At 57.1% G+C, this 22183-nt stretch overlaps 1 protein-coding gene and 1 pseudogene across 1 annotated transcript in view, besides 3 other annotated features; both read right to left on the minus strand.

Annotated features, from left to right (window-relative positions):
- CHERP (calcium homeostasis endoplasmic reticulum protein) overlaps positions 1-20942 on the minus strand; it is a 24544-nt gene extending 3602 nt beyond the window's left edge. Inside the window, exons 1-12 of the mRNA NM_006387.6 lie at positions 20859-20942; positions 20375-20548; positions 13957-14141; positions 11516-11653; positions 11103-11254; positions 9274-9385; positions 9090-9179; positions 8153-8405; positions 6585-6760; positions 3747-4182; positions 1557-1795; positions 26-159 (exon numbers count right to left, since the gene is read on the minus strand). Of these exons, the coding sequence (NP_006378.3) occupies positions 26-159; positions 1557-1795; positions 3747-4182; positions 6585-6760; positions 8153-8405; positions 9090-9179; positions 9274-9385; positions 11103-11254; positions 11516-11653; positions 13957-14141; positions 20375-20548; positions 20859-20883 (2114 nt within the window). The 5' untranslated portion in view covers positions 20884-20942. The remainder of the gene's footprint in view (positions 1-25; positions 160-1556; positions 1796-3746; positions 4183-6584; positions 6761-8152; positions 8406-9089; positions 9180-9273; positions 9386-11102; positions 11255-11515; positions 11654-13956; positions 14142-20374; positions 20549-20858) is intronic.
- Positions 6830-6879: a silencer, noted in NCBI's record as "silent region_10302". NCBI's record gives its function as "represses an Ori minimal core promoter by ATAC-STARR-seq in GM12878 lymphoblastoid cells {active_cell/tissue: GM12878}" and the evidence as "EXISTENCE:reporter gene assay evidence [ECO:0000049][PMID:35858748]".
- RN7SL146P (RNA, 7SL, cytoplasmic 146, pseudogene) lies at positions 18193-18489 on the minus strand (annotated as a pseudogene).
- Positions 20574-20643: a silencer, noted in NCBI's record as "silent region_10303". NCBI's record gives its function as "represses an Ori minimal core promoter by ATAC-STARR-seq in GM12878 lymphoblastoid cells {active_cell/tissue: GM12878}" and the evidence as "EXISTENCE:reporter gene assay evidence [ECO:0000049][PMID:35858748]".
- Positions 20654-20843: a silencer, noted in NCBI's record as "silent region_10304". NCBI's record gives its function as "represses an Ori minimal core promoter by ATAC-STARR-seq in GM12878 lymphoblastoid cells {active_cell/tissue: GM12878}" and the evidence as "EXISTENCE:reporter gene assay evidence [ECO:0000049][PMID:35858748]".

Below are 22183 nucleotides of genomic sequence, written 5' to 3' on the forward strand. Positions count from 1 at the left end.
CACCCCACTGACCTGGGCCCCTTACCTGTTCCTGGGCCTGTCGTGGGACGGGGGGCTGTAGAAGGCCTCCACTGCAGCCAGCAGCCTCTCGCTGGGCGGCATGGGGGGTGGGAGGCGGATGTCTTTAGGGTCCAAAGGCTTGTACTCGTGATCTTCCAGCTGCAGCAGAGAACCCCAGCTGTCACCATGCCTGGGCAGAGCCCTCTCAGGCCCACCCAGGGTCTGCAAGGAGTGGGGTCAGGGCAGGGCCCAGGTTCAGTGTCAAGGGTACCCTGGGCACCAGAGCTCCTCATGCTTCCCTCTTGGGGATCCCACTCTCTTGTAGGACCTCAGCCACACCAACCATGGTGGGTCATAGCTGCTCTGAGGCTGATGACAGTCACAGGGTTCTCTCTTCAGAAAATCACCCACAGGGGACATGGTCTCCAAACTCAGGTGACCTGAACACCCTCTGGTTTATTCAGACATGCAGCGGGCCCCTCACGTCACCCTTTGCTTGCAATGCCTACCCTGGGCCCCCGCTCAGAACAGCCTCAGCCCCGGCCCTGGAGCCCCCTGGCCTGTATCCTTCTTCTGCTCCGTCTCTGTCCTCCTGTTGAGGCCCTGCCCTGCCTGGCTTGCCTGGGCCCCCGCCCGCAGCTCTCCCTGCTGCCCATGGCTCCGTGAAGTCTGCCTGGACTTCAGGTGGATGTGTCTGAGGGGGTGGGAAGTGGCAGTGGCCAGCATGCCCTTGGAGGCCCCAAGCCCCGGCCCTGGCCTCCCCAACCCCCCCTTTTTTTTTTTGAGACGGAGTCCTGCTCTCGCCCAGGCTGGAGTGTAGTGGCGTGATCTCGGCTCAGTGCAAGCTCCGCCTCCCGGGTTCATGCCATTCTCCTGCCTCAGCCTCCCGAGCAGCTGGGACTACAGGCGTCTGCCACCACGCCTGGCTAATTTTTTGTATTTTTTAATAGAGACGGGGTTTCACCGTGTTAGCCAGGATGGTCTCGATCTCCTGACCTCGTGATCCGCCCGCCTCGGCCTCCCAAAGTGCTGGGATTACAGGTGTGAGCCACTACGCCTGGCCAGACCTGGCCCCTTCTTGCCTCACCTCTTGCCCTATGCTCCGGCCATCCCACAGTGGTACCAGCTGCTGCCAGCCCTGCCCGGCTTCTCCAGGGCCACCCCCCTCCCTGTGTGCTTGGTAGGCACAGCTCACAGGTGGCTCCTTCTAAGACATTCCCTCCATCAGCAGCCCTGGGACAAGGTGCTTCTGAGGCCCTGGACCAAGAAGGACGAAGAGAGGACTCGAGCCTCATAGCCTAGCTAGCCCCACATGGCTGAAGCTCCCTGTGGTGGGAGGGATAGGAGGGGCAGGGCAGGGCAGACATGGTGTCGCTCACAGCCACACCGTGCTACTCCGGTTCGGCACCTCCCACTGACGGATCAGGGTCCCTAGGGAGTGGGAGATGAAGGGGAGCCCCGGAAGGCACCCGGTCCCGTGCATTCACTTTTCACAAGGAGAAACGGGGACCAGTATGGTAAGCGTGCTCAGCTTGGAGCCCACTGTGGGGCATTACCTTCACGAGGGGGGCCATCAGCCCAGCAGGGAGATCGAAGTAGGGCACATTGGGGACCAGGCTGGGGTCATCGTGGTTGATGTGGGGTGGGCCCTGTCGCCGCATGTGTGGGGGCTGCCCGTTGAAGCCATGGGGGGGAGGGCCGAAGTCAGGGTGCTGGGGTCCAGCCCAAGGCGGGTGCTCGTTGATGCCAGGATGAGGCATGCGGTGGCCAGGGTGGTGGTGAGGGGGCCCCATTTCTGCAAAACAGAGACTTGCCTCAGGACCACAGGCCAGTCAGGATCTCCCAGGCGACAAGTGCTGGAGGGGAGGGGCTCAGTGAAGGGCCAGGAGACGAACCCCTCCTGGGAGCCTGTCCAGCATCTTCTCTCACTGCTTAAGACCAGGCAGCAAGGCACCGAGGAGCCAGGCTCCGAGGGGCCTGTCCCGCACCCATAGGCACAGCCGAGGGAGCTTGAGGCTGAGAGAAGAGAACCCCAAAACCCCAAAACTGCACGGTGAGGGCTAAGTTGTGACCCTCCGAATCCATACGCTGAGGTCCCAGCCCCCAGTAGCTCAGGACGGAACTGTATTTGGAGACAGAGCCTTCAAAGACACAAATGAGTTAAAATGAAGCCATAGTGGCCCGAATCCAACGTGACTGTTGCCGTTATAATAAGAGATTAGGACACAGACATGTAGAGAGAAGACGGTCACCTATGAGCCAAGGAGACAGGCCTCCAAGACACTAACCTGAACCCGCCACACCTCCACCTTGGACCTCCAGCCCCCAGATCCTTAAGACAATACATTCCAGCTGTTGAAGCCGTCCAGGCTGTGGGACTTATCATGTCAGCCCAAGCCAAAAAGTAAAAGCAATAAATGTGCCAAGCGGTCTTCAAGCTGCATTTATAATCAGAAATGTATTTAAAGAGAGAAGGCTGGGCATGGTGGCTCACGCCTGTAATCTCAGCACTTTGGGAGGCCAAGGCGGGTAGATCACTTGAGGCCCAGAGTTTGAGACCAGCCTGGCCAACATGGCGAAACCCCATCTACTAAAAATACAAAAATTAGCTGGGCATAGTGACTGATGCCTGTAATCCCAGCTACTGAGGAGGCCAAGGTGGAAGAATCACTTGAACCCAAGAGGAGGCTGCAGTGAGCCGAGACTGTGCCACTGCACTCCAGCCTGCGTGACAGTGAGGCTCAGTCTCAAAAAAACAACAAACAACAACAACAAAAGGCCAAGCGAGGTGGCTCACACCTTTCATCCCGGCACTTTGGGAGGCCGAGGCGGGCGGATCACCTGAGGTCAGGAGTTCGAGACCAGCCTGGGCAACATGGTGAAACCCTGTCTCTACTAAAGACACAAAAAATTAGCCAGGCATGGTGGCGCACACCTGTAATCCCAGCTACTCGGGAGGCTGAGGCAGGAGAATCATCTGAATCTGGGAGGCGGAGGTTGCAGTGAGCTGAGATTGTGCCATTGCACTCCAGCCTGGGCAACAGGGTGAGACTCTGTCTCAAAAAAAAAAAAAAGTACTAAAAGATTAGAAATAAAATCAATAACAAAGATACTAGGCATGGTGGCTCACATCTGTAGACCCAGCTACTCTAGAGGCTGAGGTGGGATGACTGCTTGAGCTCAGGAGTTTGAAAGTAGCCTGGCCAACATAGCAAGACCCCATCTCTATTTAAAATAAAATAAAATTTTTTTAAAAAAGAAAAGTAGTTTTTTGTTTTTTTTTTTTGAGACAGCGGTCTGTCGCCCAGGGTGGAGTACAGTGGTGCGATCACAGCTCACCGCAACCTCAGCCTTCTGAGCAGCTAGGACCATAGGCGCCCGACACCACGCCAAGTATTGATTTTTTAAACGAACTAATACAACGGGAAAACTGATGCAAAAAACAAGCAGCAGCAGTAAAAAGAACGAGGCCCCGCCCTGCCCTCGCCACGCCCACCCACGGCAGGAACCTTTTCCTACTGGCTCTGCCTCATCTGCAGCCAGCCGGGCCTCATCAGGGCGGCAAAACTGAGTCTGTGCCCCCACTTCCTGAGAACCCAGGCCGGGCTCCTCGGACGTCCCATGACCCTGTGTCTGTCACTGTGCACTCAGGAGCATGGCAGGGCCACAAGCAGCGCCACCAGCCTGCTCGGCAGGCGAGCCGTGGATGCCTCCGCCAGGCCCTACCCAGGCGCCCGTACACTCACCGGCAGGGAAGTCCCCCTGGGGGTAGTCGAAGCGGTGGGGATAGGGCGGCCGCTCGAAGGGGTGCCGTGGCGGGAAGTCGTCCTGCATGAAGCGGGGCGGGAAGCGGTTGAAGTTGTGGGGGTGCGGAGGCTGGTTGAACTGCGGGTGCTGCTGGTGGGGCGGGAAGGGCCCCCGGAAGTGTGGGGGCCGCTGCATGCGGAAGGGTGGCTCGCGCTGGCCCCCGCCCCAGGGCGGCTGCTCGTGCTGGCTGTTCCAGGGGCCCTCGAACTGGCTGTTCCAGGCGGCGTCGGGCTGGTTGTTCCAGGGCGCGTCGCGCTGGCCGTTCCAGCCGGGGTCACCGCGCTGCTCGCCCCACATGCCCTCATGGCTGTTGTTCCAGGGGGGGCAGTGGGGTGGGCCGCCCTGGTGGTGCGGGTAGGGTGGCTGCTCTGGCGGCTGCAAGGGAAGGGACAGGCTTGAGCCCTGCGTGGTCTAGGCCCTAGTGCTCGGCAGCATCACAGCGCTCGGCAGCATCACAGCGCTGGCTCAGACCATGGAGGCGCTGCCCTGGCCACGTTGAGGCGCCTCCTACGCTGACGCCTGCGAGGATGCTGGGCACCTGCTCTCAGCCCGCACCACATGCTGCTGCAAAATGACCAGACACCCAACCGCTGCACCCGCATCTCAGTCCCGGGGCTGTTTCTGCCGCTGGGGCGCGCTGCACCCGCACACAGGCCGCCCGCGCCACAAGGTGCTCCCCGCTACCACTGCCAGACAAACGCCAGCTCCCTCGCCCCTCAGGGGCAGGTGCAGAGGCACAGACGGTATCGCTTCTCAGGGCACCCCAGGCACCCATGGGGCGGGGCTCACTCTGACACCCCCTGCCCTGCCTCACTCCCCCTCTCCCCAAAAGCCGTCTGCTGGGCAGATACACTGCGGCACACACATCCTTGTCCTGGGGTCTGCTTCTGGGGACTTTCAAACCAAGCCAGCATCTTCCTGTAGACTGAAGACGGGAGGCTCTTCCCTCATCAGCTTCTGCTCTGGAGACTTAAAGCCAGGAGGGCAAACTCCAGCTTGGGCAGGGGAGGGGAGGAGCACAGAGGCCAATGAGAAGGCCGGTGTCTAGGGTCACAGCTGGGTAACTGCGCTGACCCCTACTAAGGGGAGGCTGGCCCAGGCTGCCACATTCACCAGGCTTCCAAGAGAAGCCAGAGAGCCAGATATTAAATATCAGGAACTACTTGTTTTTCTTTTTCTTAATTTGAGACAGTCTCGCTCTGTTGCCCAGGCTGGAGTGCAGTGGCGCGATCTTGGCTCACTGCAACTTCCACCTCCCGGGTTCAGGTGATTCTCCTGCCTCAGCTTCTCGAGTAGCTGGGATTATAGGCGCCTGGCACCATGCCCGGCTATTTTTTTATCTTTAGTAGAGGCGAGGTTTCACCACGTTGGCCAGGCTGGTCTCAAACTCCTGACCTCAAATGATCTGCCCACCTCAGCCTCCCAAAGTGTGGGATTACAGGCGTTAGCCACCACGCCCAGCCTTGCTTTTCTTTTTTAGAGACAAGGTCTCACTCTGTCACCCAGGCTGGAATGCAGTGGCATGACCATAGCTCAATGAAGCCTGAAGTCCTGGCTGAACCAATCTTCCTGCCTCAGACCACTGTGTAGCTGGGACGACAGGTGTGCACCACCATGCCAGCTTATTTTTATTCTTTGTAGAGATGGAGTCTTGCCTTGTTGCCCAGGCTGGTCCCAAACTCCTGGCCTCAAGCAATCTTCCTGCCTTGAGAAATTACTTTTAAACGTGTTAAGACCCCACATGGCCAAGTCAAGCAGGCCAGGCTGCTGTTTCTCAGTGTGGACTGCAGGATGCACTGCTGGCCTAGCGGGCACCCTCAGTGAGGGGCGTGCCCATTGTCCTGAGCCCAACCCTCTGGTCTGCAAAAAGACTGAGCCTGGAGACACTAAGGGCCTGTTTCCACACCTACAAAACAGGGACAAGAACTGCCCCCCCCAGCAGAGGGTACCTGCAAAACAGCCACCACCATCTGGCTCCTGGCCAGCACTTGGAGGTGGGAGCTGTCTTTATGGGGGTGTCCAATCTTTTGTGAGGTTCAATTTCGTGTCCTGAAGCTGGGGATGGGAGGCTCAAAGCCACAACCACCAAGTCTCAGTCCAGAGCCAGTCTCCTTGCCATCCTTACACCTGTCCCTGCAGACAGGGAGTCACCTGGAAAGGCCACGCTGCGAAGCCAACCAGGCCCCACGGGCAAGGGGGAAAGTCACGCCCTGGAAGACCCGGGGCTGTGCCTCAGTGCTGAAAGTGGACCCAGCACGCTGCAGGGCATTTCACAGCCATGCTGTGCCACATAAGGTGGCCCCTGCCTTGGCCCAGGGGTATGTGACCCATAGCAAAGCTGCATCTGAGGCCTCCCAGGGGCAACACGGCTGACATTTCTGACATTCCCCCTTTCCTTACAAAAGCACCTTGTTCTTTCCAGGATGACAAAACACTGACACTCAACTAGCTTAACCTGTTTAAGGAGGACAGGAAACAGAACACCCTGCCGTGCCTTGCAGCGTTAAACTCCCCTGCACTCGCAGGACAATGGTGATCTATACTACAGAGAAGCCCAAACCATCAAAGCTCGGGGAAGGGACGTGAAGACCTGTCACTTGACCTGTCCCGGAGCCACAGGAAGACAGGGCTGTCACTAACCCAGCATAAGCTCTGCCACAGAATATCCCTCATTGTTCCCCAGTAAGCCACTCAACGCCCACCAACTGGCATAGGGGAGGCTACCCCATCAGGCCAAGTGTGCCCCATCTGCTCCCACCCCAGGTTCCAATCAATACCTGCTGCTGGCCCCAAGGAGCCACGGGGTGAGGCTGGTCAAACCAAGGGGGCTTGTTTGGTGGGATCTGGTCGTGTGGCCCGGGGCCCCGGGGGCCGGCAGCTGCAGGATCCTGGACCCCTCCTGGAGCTTCGTACTCTGAAGAGCCAGGCATCTGGATGGGAGGCTTGCTGTCATCTAAATCCAAGTGACAGGCAGTTAGAGCAGGCCTGGCAGCAGGAGGCGCTGTCTCCTCTCCACACTACCCCAGAGCAAACCAGGCTACCGCTTTTAGTGCCCAGTGGATGATCGCTTCAGGACCCACTAAAACCATGACTATCACTGGCTTCCAGGAAGGGGACAGGGCGAGGGGAGGTTTCGACCTTGAACATGACACACATCTGTCCTTTTCAAAGCTTTACAAGAAACAGGCCTCACTTCTGCCTTCTTGGTTTGCTGAAGAATTTCTATCCACACTGAATTTGATTAGACATCTTTACTGTATCTAATTAAAAGGTCATTTCCCCACATCTGTTATTTTCTATTCTATACAATCCTCATATTCCTACAACAAATCTTCTTTGATCAGAATGTAATTTTAAAATCCTTTGCTAGGCCGGGTGCGGTGGCTCACGCCTGTAATCCCAGCACTTTGGGAGGCTGAGGTGGGTGGATCCCAAGGTCAGGAGATCGAGACCATCCTGGCTAACACGGTGAAACCCCGTCTCTACTAAAAATACAAAAAAGTAGCTGGGCATGGTTGCGTGCGCCTGTAGTCCTAGCTACTCAGGAGGCTGAGGTAGGAGAATGGCGTGAACCCAGGAAGCGGAGCTTGCAGTGAGCTGAGATCACGCCACTGCACTCCAGCCTGGGCGACAGAGCAAGACTCCATCTCAAAAAAAAATCAAAAACAAAATCCTTTGCTAGATTCTGCTAAGATTTCCTTCAGTATTTCCGTGTCTTTTTCAGAAGTGACACTAGATTGTATTTTCTGAGACAGGGTCTCGCTTTGTTACCCAGGCTGGAGTGCAGTGGTGTAAATGCAGCTCACTGCAGCCTCAATCTCATGGGCTCAAGTGATCCTCCCACCTCAGCCCCCAAGTAGCTGGGACGACAGGTGAGCACCATTTTTCTATTTTTAGTAGAGACGGGGTTTCACCATGTTGCCCAGGCTAATCTCAAACTCCTGGGCTCAAGCGATCTGCCCATCTTGGCCTCCCAAAGTGCTGGGATTACAAGCGTAAGCCACCATGCCTAGCCAATTATATTTTCAGTCTGTGCATTGTCCTTCCTGCCTGATGTAATAGTTACCCTAGTCTTGGGGAATGATCTGGGTACCTTTCCTCTATTTCTTTTCTCTGGGAACAGGAAACAGATCTTCTGCTGTTCAGGAATGGGATGGTTGTAGTTTTACTCTAGGATCACCTGGCTCGTGCTTGTAAATGGATGAAAACCTGGGCCTAGGAGCAGGCCTGGGACGAGGGAACAAGAACTGAGTCTGAGGGTGGCAGACTGCTTTCTGACTACACTCGGTGCCCAGCCTCTGGGGGCTGTTTCCTGGGGGCAGGCTGAGCTGAGGGAGCCCCGTACCAGGCTGGGTGGTGGGCGGGATGGCAGGGGCAGGTGCTGGGGCCGGGGGTGGAGCAGGCGGTGGAGGCGTGGCCTTGACTTCAGCCTCCATCTGCGGCATCTGGAGCTGCTGCTGCTGCTGTTGCTGCTGCTGCTGCTGCTGGGCCAGGCTGGTGACAAACTCCTCGTGCTGCGTCTTGAGGGTCTGGATCTGCTGCTGGAAGGCCAGCTGCACCGGCTGGACCACTGAGGAGTACTCGTTGATGAGGGTGGCCTGAGAGAGAGAAGAGCACCCGCTGCTCAGTATGCGGCCTTGGGGCTCGCTGCCTGGCGCCAGAGGACAAACGCCTGGAAAGCAGCAGAGCCTGGGGGACCTGGGGCAGGTGGACAGGGAACCGTCACGTGAAACAGCCAACACAGTCTGGGCAATCAGTGTGCGCTGGGATCTGGCCAGAGATTTGGGGATGAGGATGTTCGCTGCAGCGTGTTTTACGACTCCCTGATAACAGAACGAGCAACGACAGCCGTGTCCTGGCCGCTTCGTGGCTGCTCAGCGAACACTGCCCACCAACATTCTGGGACACGCTCATGGGCTCTGCCTCCCACTCGCCATGTGGCTCTCAGCAAGAGGGGCTGCCACAGCCTAAGCCACGTCTGGGCTTCCTCATGCTTCCACCACACCGGAACATGCCTGACCACCAGAGCAAATGGGCCATGTGCAATGACTCCGAAAGGCCGCCTGGTTCTAGTGTTCCAGGAAAGTCAGGGAGACACACCTAAGGCCTGGGAAATGTCACCTGGGACTCTCTGGTCAACACACACTGGCTACTCCTAGCACAGGCAGGGGACATGGGCTCTCTGGCTGCTGGGGTGGCAGCTGCTGTCCCCACACTCCCAAACCCTCCTGGGGAACCCGCCCCAGCTCTAGGGTGAGGTGTGGGTGGGCAGGGACACTCACCTGGTACTGACCAAGCCCCAGGGCTGGGCTCTGTAGCTGCTGAATGATGGAGTCATCGAAGTAGCCGTTTTTCTCCCAGAGCTGCAGGAGCTGGCGGTGGGAGGAGAGAGAGGCCGGGTCAGTGGGGAGGGGAAAGGCCTGTGTGTCCCGGTCTTGCCCAACCCCCGGCCCGGGGCCCACGCACCCGGGCGATCTTCTGCTGCTTGTCTTCCTCCACGGCCAAGAAGCTGGTGCAGTAGATGGGCACCACGACCTTCTGCAGGGCGGCCAGCAGCTCCCGGGCCTGCTTGCGCTGGCTGTGAGGGAGAGACTTTCCGCGCGTCAGGGCCCTGGGGCGGGACCCGGCCACGCGCCCGTTACCATCGCGGCTCCAGCCTCAGCGCCCTCTGCCTTCTCGGGAATCGGGTCCCCAACCCGGTCAGGGCGATGGCTGGGCTCCCACGAGACCTGTGCTGGTGCCTGGGCTCGAGGAAGGGACAGATGGAAAAACAGCAAGCAGGGGAGGGAGAGAACGTGGCCTGGGGCCGTTCTGAGCAAGGCCTTTTGGTCCAGTCCCCTTGATAGGAAATAACCTTCCCTCCTTCCCTCTTGGGTGGCGCTGCGGGTGAAGGGATATGGGCCGGCGGGAGCCCCTGCCTGTGTATGATGGGCGGGATGGGACTGCTGCGGAGTGGGGGTCTTGTCCTTGTCACTCACTATGCACAAGGAAACCTCGGCCCAGGCCAGGCCTCTTGGGAGAAGGAGGGAGGGTGCCCAGTCCCTCAGGAACCTAGAACACTTTAGAAGAGTGACCGGATGCCCAGCGGGGGGAGGCGCCGGGCCCATGTCCTCTCAGGGCTGCTGTGCAGTGCTGCACAGGACACTGTGCATACCTGGCCTGGGAGGCCCCTGCCGCTGCGCAGGGAGATGGCTGCCCCTGGGGAGGGACGCAAGACAGGAGGGGAGCAGCTGGAAGCCCCTCAGCCCTCAGCTTGCCGCAGGGGGCTCAGGGGAGCAAGGGCCTGGGCTGGGCGAGCAGCACTTGGCTTCGGACAGAGTAGAGCTAGAGAGGCGCGTGGCTGGAGAATGCGGGAAACTGTGCATCCGTGCAAGGCACCCGACTCAGAGGCAGGGAGAAATGGAGGCATGAGGAGGAGCAGAAGGGCAGAGCTGGTGCCGAGCCGCAACTCACTTCCCAGCAGGAGAGAAACAGGGACTGAGGTGGGGAGGCAAGAGGGACTCAGGCAGTGCTGCATGTGATAGATGGGGCGAGATGGGTGCTGGCAGCCTGGCCCACTGTAGAGGCACACGAGGCGCCAGGCCAGGACTGCTGCCCGCTAGGCTCAGTAGCAATGCTTGTCTCCTCCCGCACGTGCGGGCCTTTGGCCTGGGGTTCTATTGTTTTTTTTTTCTTTTTTGCTAATTTTTGTGAGAAGGGCCCCAGTGACCCTGTAGAAGGAAATACCCACCCAACCTTGGGGAGGGTGGAGACAGCAACAGTGGGAAGGGTGAGGGCTGGGTGGGGACAGAGGGTCGGCAGATGTGGCTCTGTTGAAGCCTGAGAGATGGGTCAGGGCTGGAGAAGGGGATCCCAAAGGAGGGTCCTGATGGCTGAGCAAAGTCAGGTGACCGCGTGTGTGTGCGTGCAAATCAGTGACGAGGGCAGGAGACAGACACAGAGGCCAAGGAGGCCGTGGCTGAGAAGGCAACAAGGAGACGCCAAGAAGCTGCCCCATGAGAGGAAGGAGTGCAGGGGACAGTGGCCCCCAGGAGACAGCAATGTGACAGGTGAGGCCGGGGTCTAGGGGAGAGGACAGGGCATGCAGCGAAGGTGCACAGGACACCTAGACCTCGCAGTCCTGGAGACAGAAGCCTGGTGGCTCACAGAGACCCCCCACCCGGGGTCCCCGGACAAGTGCCCCCTAGTCTCGGGACAGGCCAAGCCAAGCTACCGACCGGAGCAAGCGGCCACCCAGGAGGGTTGAGGAGGAGCGCGAGGAAGTGGCGCTCTGGGCACGGGGTGGCGGCGCTCACCAGTGGTGCAGCACGTCATTGATCAGGTAGATGAGGTGCAGCCGCAGCTCGAAGTGTGCCCCATCAGCCGTGATGCGGTTCCGGAGGTGGCCGGCCATCAGCTCACAGTGCGGCGGGGACTTGGCATTGCTGAACATCCAGTTCTTCCCGGCCTGCAACAACCGAGCCAATGACGAGTGAGCAGGGCCGCGGCTCCCCCAGGCACCCACTGCATCCCTGAGAGCGCGTCACCATCAGCTCAGGGAAGGACACACCATGAGCGTGGGGGGCACAGGGTCCCACAGCCTCAGGAGCTCCAGGCGGGAGGGAAGGGCACCCATTGTAACAGCCCTTAGCCCAGATTGGCTACGACAGGCCCTGCCTCAGGGAGGGACCAAGGGAAAGCTGGGCTCTGGGAAGTGCTGGCCCCTCACCGAGATGGCGTCCTTGGTGCACGTGTCGATGATGGGCTGCAGGAGGTTGTCAAACTCGTTCATGTCTAGCTGGGTCTCCTCCAGAAGCTTCTGCATCTGCTGCTCCACCGCGTGGGCCACGGCCGCTGTCACTTGCTCCTGCGGGCGGGGGTCGGTGGGGTCGAGAACACATGAGGAGGGACCCGCAGCCTGAGCCCTCCGGCCTGGCTCAGCAGGGGCGGGGTGGGGACATGGTGGCGATGCCCGGACTCTGGGCTGCTCTGGCCATCAGCTCCCTTGCTTGTCCCCAGCAGGAGGAGATTCTGTCTCTCATGCCTGCCGTGAATCTGTGACAGTCCCTCCTGGAGTGGGCAGGGCACTGACAGGACATACCAGGAGACAACACCTGCCCTCCAGGTAACCAAGGAAAACACTGCAGCCCAGAGGAACAAACAACCTCTGCAAACCAACTCAACAAAAAACAAAGGCGGGGCGCGGTGGCTCATGCCTGTAATCCCAGCACTTTGGGAGGCTGAGGCGGGAGGATCGCTTGAGCCCAGGAGCTCCAGACCACCTGGGCAACGTAGCGAAACCTCATCTCTACAAAAAATAAAATACAAATTAGTTGAGCATGGTAGTGTGTGCCTGTGTTCCCAACTACTTGGGAGGCTGAGGCGGAAGGATTGCTGGAACCCAGGAGTTCAAAGTTAAACAGTGAGCTGTGACTGTACCACTGCACTCCAGCCTGAGTGACACAGCAAGACCTTGTCTCTAACAACAACAAAACAACAACAACAACAACAACAAAAAGAAAAGAAAAGAAAAAAAAAGACAAATGAGGCATGGTGTGAACGACAGGCAATAGAAGAAGAGGATACACCCATGGCCTCTAGTGAAGCAAGAAGGGGGCAATCTCATTCCTCAAGAGGAAACACCGGTTAAAGTGCGACTGGTAAAAACAGAGCTGCCATGCGGACCAGCGGTCAGTTACGGCTGGTCAAGGCAGGCCTCCCACTCCATGATGAACAGAAGCTGAGGGTGAGCATTCTGGAACTTTCTTTTCTTTTCTTTTTTTTTTTTTTGAGATGGAATCTCGCTCTGTCGCCCAGGCTGAAGTGCAATGGCATAATCTCAGCTCACTGCAACCGCCACTTCCCGGGTTCAAGCAATTCTGCCTCAGTCTCCCGCGTAGCTGGGACTACAGACACCTGTCACTGCACCCAGCTAATTTTTGTATTTTTTACTAGAGACAGGGTTTCACCATATTGGCCATGCTGGTCTCAAACTCCTGACCCTGTGATCCGCCTGCCTTGGCCTCCCAGAGTGCTGGGATTATAGGCTGAGCCACTGTGCCCAGCTGGAATTTTCTGAGAGCAATATGACAGTGTGATTTTATGCCCTGAACCTAGTACTGAGCGTGGGGTTGGTGTTTTGGAGGTTTGGTATTCTATTCCTCTCATTTTTCTGGCAATGCACTTGTAGTATTTTATTTATTTATTTTTTCTGAGACTGAGTCTTGCTCAGTCACCCAGGCTGGAGTGCAGTGGTGCAATCTCAGCTCATGCAACCTTTTCCTCCCAGGTTGAAGCAATTCTCCTGCCTCAGCCTCCCAAGTAGCTGGGATTACAGGCGTGCACCACCACGCCCAGCTAATTTTTGTATTTTTCATAGAGACAGGGTTTCATCATGTTGACCAGGCTAGCCTCGAACTCCTGACCTCATGATCTGCCCATCTCAGCCTCCCAAAGTGCTGGGATTACAGGTGTGAGCCACCACACCCAGCCAATGCACCTGTATTCTATTTGGCGAAAGTTATCAAACTGTTGGACCAGGAAGGACAAAAGGGTCCTTCTGGCCAGGTGGATCACCTGAGGTCAGGAATTTGAGACCAGCCTGGCCAACCTGGTGAAACTCCATCTCTACTACAAATAGAAAAATTAGCCGGGTGTGGTGGTGCATGCCTGTAATCTCAGCTACTCCAGAGGCTGAGGCAGGAGAATCGTTTGAACTCGGGAGGTAGGGGCTGCAGTGAGCTGAGATCACGCCTCTGCACTCCAGCCTGGGCGACAGAACAAGACTTAAAAAAAAAAAAGGGTCCTTCCCCAACCAACAGCTCCAGGTGACCTAGCTACTGTGTGGTGGGGCCAATGGTAGGCACCAGAGGCTGCCTGGCCACAGCCATTAGGGAGCTTCAAGGTGCATACGTGCCCCACAGTCCCACTCAGGGGGGTCCACCCCAGGGTGATGGGTGCACGCACGTCCAGTGGCTTCACTGAGATGAGAAGCAGCCTCTGTGTCTGGCATCAGGGCTGGGGGTGACAGTGGCTGACATGCACCGAGCCCTGGGTGGCAGGGGGGGCCCTGTCCTCACTGACACCTGTTATTCATTCTGATGAGCAGACGCAAAAACAGAGGCACAGGGGAGCTGCTGGTGTCTGGCCGAGGAGGCGGCGGGCCCATACCTGTCTGAGCGCCAGCAAGTGCTGCTCCTGCTGCTGGAGGTTCCACTGGCTCTGCTGGATGAGCTCGTCCATGGATGGCGCGCCCTGGGCCGGCGGGATGGGCGCGGCGGGGGCCAGCGGGGGCTGTGGCAGGGGTGGCATGGTGGCGGCTGGCTCCAGCTCCGGGGTCTGCTGCTTGCAGATGACTGGAGGGAGAGGAGGAGGGGTGCCCCATGAGAATGCAGATGGGGGTCTAGGTGTCCCCTTGGCCACCTCTCAGCCACAGGGGCCTCCCCCTCCCCAGGGACTCACCATCCACGAGGGCCTGTTCATAGCCTCATGCCCACGCAAACCAGCTCCTCCTAGTCTCGGGTCCTGCCCTCCCTCTCACAGGATCCCAGCCTCAGCATTCCATCTTCGGGCCGTCCCCTCCTCGGAGAACCTAGGAAGTCCCCTGGCCGCTCTCTCGCCAGCACCATCCAGTCCTTGCGCAGTGTCCTTCCGGTGCAAGCTAAGCTTGCCTGCCCACCTCCTCACCCACCTAGGCCCCACCTGATGCAGAACCCAGGCCTCAGTACCTCTCATCCTCCGACCTCCTCGGCCACTCCCTGACCTCTGCCACTTAAGCTACCCATTGACTGTTAAGATGTCACAGCCACCGGGCCTCTGCACATCTGGCCAGAAAGGCACGAAGCCGCACCCCCGAGCGCACACTGCGGCCTCCCCCACACCTGCCTTGTCCTTCTACTGACTCTCCTTGCTTCTCCAGCCCTTGGGGACAGAGACCCCTCTGCATTCAGGGGTGCATCCAGTTTGAGGCAGCAGTGAGACACCCATTCTGCCGGCAGAAGCCTGGGTCAGGGTGGGCGCAGGTCCCAACTCTGGCCAGATGGGGCAGGTGGTGAGGTCTCTGAGGAAGGGACCCGGCTCATAAGGAGGCCCTGGACAAGATGACCTGCCTCTCTCTCCGTCTTGGGGCCGCCTGGTCTAAATGTGACCAGGTACCCCTGGAGCCCTCCAGAGCCCCACTCCAAGGGGACCAGGACAAAGCCAAAGATAAGGGAGGTGGGGTGTCAGGTGGAAGGTGTCGCCCCTCACTGGGCGCTCAAGTCAAGTCTCGGGGCTGACTGTGCCCTCCAGTTTGTGCACCCAAAGCCACCCTACAGGATGACCCCCAACTTCTGCACTGAATCCCACCCCTCCCACTGTCTGAGGGACACTGCTTATTGATATTTCTTCTATCTCTTATTTCTCCAACTCCTCCCTCTTTACCCGTCCCTCCCCAGCAGCATCTAAACACATTGGGCTGGGCATGATGGCTCACGCCTATAATCCCAGCACTTTGGGAGGACAAGGCGGGTGATCACCTGAGGTCAGGAGTTCGAGACCAGCCTGGCCAACATGGCCCTGTCTCTACTGAAAATGCAAAAAATTAGTCGGGCGTGGTGGCGGGCACCTGTAATCCCAGCTACCTGAGAGGCTGAGGCAGGAGAATTGCTTGAGCTTGCAAGGTGGAGGTTGCAGTGAGCCGAGATGGCGCCACTGCACTCCAGTGTGGGTGACAGAGTGAGACTCCATCTCAAAAAATAAAAAAGGAAATAAATAAACACATCAGAATATTCTGGGTTGGAAACTTCTCCCTTTACCCCATGATCCCTCTCTAAACGATTTCTCAGACAAGACTCACTCCAGATCTTCACCTCCCCTTTATCTCAGCCTGGTGCCTGCTTGCCACTCCCCGCACCCCCCTCCTTCCCCCAGGCAGCTGAGGACACCCTCACTCAACTCAGCCCCCCGGGCCTGTCGCAGGTGCTTGCCTCCCTTGGCCTCCATGTGTTCGCCCCCTCAGTCCCTTTCTCCCCCTTTACCAACCCCTCTCCCGTTGGACCCTCACATGCTGGGGTGCGCGGCCTGTGTTCTGAGCCCTGTCCTCCGCTCTACGCAACCGCCGGGCAACATGAGCTACTCATTCCTGTGGCTGCGATTGTGCATGGTGTGATTCCTAAATCCATCATCTCCATTCTGGATTCCTGAGCTTTGGCCCTAACCACCAACTGCACGGCCCACTGTGTTTCCAAGGGGCCTGTGTTTCCTCTCACCCCCTACACCTATGTCCCCTCCTGTGCTCCCCGCACCATGGTTGGCACCACCATCTGCCCAGAAACCCAGGCCAGAAGTAGCATGTGCCTCCCAGTGACGAGCCACATAGTGTCAAGGCGGCCTCCGAGACATCACTCCAATCAGTCTATGTCCCCGCTGTCACCACCATGGATCTGCTGTCACCTGCGTCACCCCAGAACCGGTCTTCCTGCATCAGGTCCCATCCCTCTACCTCTTTTTGACATGGCAGTCATGGTATTGCCACTTATGGAGTGGTCCCTGGGCTACCCAGCGGTGACAGACGGTTATGGAACCAGAAAGGGAGCATTTCAAAACCTTTCTAGCAGCGTGATGGTTCACGGTCCACATTGTTACTGTGCTTTGCAGAAGTTTTGGTCCACACACAACAGGTTAGAAACTTAAAACACAACACCAGAAATGGTCCTTCACCACAGAGTTCGTGAAGCTCCATTCTACAACAGTTGAGGCCCAGGCTTTAAGGCGTGGGGTGCAGAACTGGCTGTACTGTGGCTAACCCAGCTTCACAACACAGACCTAAACCTTCCACGAGTCTCTCCCACGCTTCCAGGATACACTCCTCACTCCTCTCCAAGCCAGGTCCCCGACTCCTCCCCAAGCCAGGCCTCCAACTCCTCCCCAAGCCAGGCTCCCAATTCTGCACCCCCACCTCTGGCCACTCCAAGAACCCCTCCTACTCTGGGCTTCAGCCACCCTAAGCTCTGGGTTCCCCATTCCCTCCAAGGGCTCCTTCCTCTGCCCGGAACACTTTTCTCCCCTTGTTTTCACCTGGCCAACTCCAACACACCCTTTACATCTAGCCAAGATATCATCACCCACAGAAAGCACTTCTTGGCTGGGTACGATGGCTCACGCCTGTAATCCCAGCACTTTGGGAAGCCAAGGTGGGCGGATCATGAGTTCAAGAGATCAAGACCATCCTGGCCAACATGGTGAAACCACATCTCTACTAAAAATACAAAAATTAGCTGGGTGTGGTGGCGCACGCCTGTAGTCCCAGCTACTTGGGAGGCTGAGGCAGGAGAATCGCTTGAATCTGGGAGGCAGAGGTTGCAGTGAGCCAAGATCTTGCCACTGTACTCCAGCCTGGGCAACAAGAGCAAGACTCCATCTCCAAAAAAAAAAGAAAGCACTTCTTGGCTTCAATCTTCCTGGGCTATAAGCATAAGCACCCTCTCCTTCCTCATAATGGCACCAGCTTCCAAGTGGCCACCCCCCCGCCCCAGAAAGGGAAAGCAGCCCTTAGCTCAGTCACCCAAGCCAAAGCACCGTCTGAGGTGTCTTCCTCCCCTGCTCATTACACCATCAGGTCGTCAATATGCAACTGGCGCCCAAGTTCATGGATTCTACCCCTTCACCCCACCTGCCCCCCATGCTCCCTCCCTCAGGCTCAACCTACTGACTTAATTCAGACCCCACCATCTCTCACCTAAACAACTGCCCTGTTTGCTCCCCTGCAGGCCTCACTGCTCCCCAGGCTGGTCCCTGTAGCTTGTCCTACACCACCGGCCACACAACCCAAGCCACCCTCTCCCTTGTTTAAAACTCTTGTGGCTTCCCGCTGCCTTTAGAAACGGTTTTTTTTTTTTTTTTTTTGAGACGGAGTCTCGCTCTGTCGCCCAGGCTGGAGTGCAGTGGTGCGATCTCGGCTCACTGCAAGCTCTGCCTCCCAGGTTCACGCCATTCTCCTGCCTCAGCCTCCCAAGTAGCTGGGACTACAGGCGCCCGCTACCACGCCTGGCTAATTTTTTGTATTTTTAGTAGAGACGGGGTTTCACCGTGTTAGCCAGGATGGTCTCGATCTCCTGACCTCGTGATCCGCCCGCCTCGGCCTCCCAAAGTGCTGGGATTACAGGCGTGAGCCACCGCGCCCGGCCTAGCAACGGTTTTAAACTTGGTGTGCTGGGGCTAAGGAAGGATCGCTCTAGAAACACATAAGCACATACAATATTTTGCTTACGATTTCAGGCAGCTGATCTCTCTCCACCCCACCCCCGCATCTCAAACCTAAATAGGCATCAGAAAAACCCCTGGATTGAGTGAAAAAACCCAAACTTTTCCCCTGGCAGTTAACACTCCAGGTCAAACTCTTCCCTCATACAAGCACATTCTTTTATTAAATAGATTCTCTACTATGTCACCCAGGCTGGAGTGCAGTGGCTATTTACAGGCGTGAGGCCACTACTGATCGGCACAGGAGTTTCGACCTGCTCCATTTCTGACCTGGGCCAGTTCACCACCCCTTAGACAGTCGAGTGGTCCCCAGCTCCCAGGGGGTCACCATACTGACACTGAACTTACTGCACACACTCAATCGACACAGCGCACTACAGCCCTGAACTCCCGGGCTCAAGCAACCCTCCAGCCTCAGCCTCTTGAGTAGCTGGGGGTACGGTGTGTGCCACTGTGCCTGGCAATACACACATAAACTCTCTCTCTGTTTCTTGTTCAAGAAACTGCCCCTTTGCAATGTTCTACTCTCTCAGCCTTTCAAGTTTTTGTTGTTGTTGTTGTTAGATGGAGTTTCGCTGTCTCCCAGGCTAGAGTGCAGTGGCACGATCTTGGCTCACTGCAACCTCCACCTCCCAGGTTCAAGCGATTCTCCTGCCTCAGCCTCCCGGGTAGCTGGGACTACAGGTGCCCACCACCATGCCTGGCTAATTTTTTTTGTATTTTTAGTAGAGATGGGGTTTCACCATGTTGGCCAGGCTGGTCTCGAACTCCTGACCTCAAGTGATCCGCCTGACTCAGCCTCCTAAAGTGCTGGGATTACAGGCACAAGCCACTGGGCCTGGCCTCCTTTCAAGCTGCTTTTTTTTTTTAGATGGAGTCTCATTCTGTCACCCAGGCTGGAGCGCAATGGTGTGGTCTCGGCTCAATGCAACCTCCAGCTCCCAGGTTCAAGCGATTCTTCTGCCTCAGCCTCTCCAGTAGCTGGGACTACAGGTGTGTGCCACCACACCTGACTAAGTTTTGTAATTTTAGTAGAGATAGGGTTTCACTATGTTAGCCAGGCTGTTCTCAGACTCCTAACCTCAAGTGATCTGCCCGCTTCAGCCTCCCAAAGTGCTGGGATTACAGGCGTCAGCCACTACGCCTGGCCTCCTTTCAAGCCTTTTCTTTTTCTTTCTTTCTTTTTTTTTTTTGAGATGGAGTCTTACTCTGTCACTCAGACTGCAGTGCAATGGCGTGGTCTTGGCTTACCGCAACCTCCACCTCCCGGGTTCAAGCGATTCTCCCGCCTCAGCCTCCCAAGTAGCTGGGACTACAGGCGCGGGCCACCACACCCGGCTAATTTTTGTATTTTTCGTAGAAACAGGGTTTCACTATGTTGGCCAGGCTGGTCTCAGACTCCTAACCTCAAGTGATCTGCCCGCCTTGGACTCCCAAAGTGCTGTGATTACAGTATGAGCCACTGCAACAGGCCTCCTTTCAAGCTGTTTAATCGAACACCAACTGTGTGTTATGTATTAAGGGACAATGACCTTGTACCTTAATACAAGACGAGCGTGTAGTCCCCTGAACTACACGCTCGCCGAAGCCAAACAGACCTTGTTTGGGTCATTGTACCTTAATACATAACACACAATTGGCGTTCGATCAAACAGCGGACAACCACCTCTCAATGTCCATCTACCTGGCAAACTCCTAGTTATTCATTTAAACAATCTAGAGACGGGGTTGGGTACTGAACGTGACAGATGTGATACCTGCCCTGAGCAGCCGCACCACCTGGTGACTATCCATTATTCAAAGGCCAGCTCTGCTTCCTAACTTTAAACTTCTTTAGAGCAGGACTGGAATCCTGTTGCCTAAATGAACGAACATTGATAAACACTTGCCAATAACTAAAACTCAGAGGGATAATTCTTTTTGATTTCTGCTGCAGGCATCTGAAATGCACAAAACCTTGCTGGACCCACAGGGAGACGGCAAAGGGGGCTGGACAGTGCCTGTCCCATGGACTCCCATCCGGCCTCTATCACTTCCTCCCTAGAAAACACTAAAACAATCACGCTACTCCTGCTAATCTCCGTCATCAGTCTGCAAAACAACAGCAAAATCCCTGATCCAGAGCCCAGGGGGGAGGATCGAAAACCTCGTTGTTCTCCATTACAGTGGCACCCAGCAGCCGCTCTGTGCAGGGCCGTGGGAACAGCGGAACAGGGATCGTGTGGACCGAGCTGCTCCACTTCAAAGAATAAACGACCCGAAAGAAAGAGGTTTGTGGCAGAGCCCGGACTGGAATCCGAGAAAGGAAGCGCTCGATGGGACGGCCTGAGTGCCGGAGGGGACTCACGCTGCTGCTGCTCCAGCGCCAGCTTGCACTTGTAGTAACTGTAGAATTCGCCTCCGAAAAGAAACGAGAATTTGGGGTTGTCCTTCTGCTTCTCCATAGTCATCTTCTCAAACTCGGGCCCATTGCGAGCCACGAACTGGGCGAGCTTGTCGATGACATTTCGAAGCTCCTGGTCTGGAGGACGGAGAAAAGGCCACGCGGGGCGTCAGCGAGGACCGCCCAAAGCCGGGGGACTCGGCGCCCCAGCCCCCGTCCGCCTTGCCGGGGACCCCAAGGGGGTGGGCCCCGAAGAGGCCGCCCTTGTACGGGTCCCGATAGGGGCCACACGCTCGCCGGGAATGCGGGGACCCACGGGAGAGGCCGCAGGCGAAGCCGCGAGGCCGAGCCCCGCCCCCTCCCAGACCCGGGGACTCCGGGAGGCGGGGCCGGCCAATAGGAGGTTCCGGGGAGAGAGAAACGGTCTCTCGGCCGGTTTGGGTCTCACCATCGGGGGGCAGCGGCATCTCCATGGCTCCGGCCGCGGGGAACGTCCTCCGGCGCCACACGATCGACCACCAGCGCCGTCTGCGGAAGCCGGCCGGAAGTGGCGCGAGGGAGCCGTTTACGGCGGGCTTCTAGGGCCGCTTCCGCCCGCCACTTACGGCCGTCGCTGGGAAACTCCGGAAGTGAGAGCGGGAGGCAGGCGGGAAGAAGCCGCGCGATGCCTGGCGCGCGGGAGGGGCTAGCGACGCGCACGCGCAGAAGTTTCCTGACACTTTCGCAGAGTGGGTCCCCGTCGCGCGGCGCCGCGGAAAGGCTGGAACGGCGCGGGTGGGTGTTAGTCGAGACCGGGGGGCGCGGGGCGTGCCCCTTGGTCGGCGTCGCAGCCCGATGGGCTGGCTGGTTGCTACCTCCGGGCGACCAGGGGCCTGGGGACTTCGTGCCTGGGCCAGGGTCTCTTTCCTTTCGCGGGCACAGTGAGGAGACTGCGAGGTGAGGTGCGTCCGGGTGGATCCCGGGCTGCGGCGACTGTCACATTCTCCCCGGCCAGACCGGAGGTGGAGCAGAACTGGGGGCGACGAGCTTGACTGGGATTGCAGCTGGACGTATTTAGGTTCAAAACATCCTCCTCCTGGCTTTCTTCCGCTCCACTCTTTGGTCAGGAAGACTGGGGCGGGGTACCCCCCAACCCATGCCCTCAAATTGCTGGCCTAGAGGGCACAGCGCCTTTCTAAAAGCTGCAGTTGGGTTGCCTCTAAAATAATGAAGCTAACCCTTGCTAATTGTGGGGAAAAGATAGCCAGAAGCAGCAAATTTCTGCTGTGGACGTCCGATATAAACTGATCCTCTTGAGATGGTTAATGCTTAGTTGGCTATACCTGCCCCCCGCCCCCGCCGCTTTTTTTTCCTTTATCCGTTTTTTTTTTTCTTTTTTCTTGAGACAAGGTCTTGCTCTGTGGCCCACGCTGGAGTGCAGTGTCATGATCATAGCTCACTAGCCCTGAACTCCTGTGCTCAAGTAATCCTCCCGCCTCGGCCTCCCAAAGTGCTAGGATTATAGGCATGAGCTACTTTACCCAGCCTGTTTTTTTCTGTGCAAATAAATGCACATGTATTTTAGATTAGTTTCATTTTTATTGTTAACAGCATTTTTCCACCAGATGCTTATGGATTGACAACTCTACATCAAGTGTTGCTGTAGGCTAGGAATCAACAAAACTTTTTGTATAAAAGGGACAGAAAGCAAATATTTTAGACTCTGCAGGTCAGGAGGCAAGATCAAGGATTTTTTTTTTTCTAAATGTCCTCTAGTTCATATTTTCTCATGAA

Source organism: Homo sapiens, chromosome 19 (assembly GCF_000001405.40).
Source record: "Homo sapiens chromosome 19, GRCh38.p14 Primary Assembly".
NCBI lineage: Eukaryota > Metazoa > Chordata > Mammalia > Primates > Hominidae > Homo > Homo sapiens.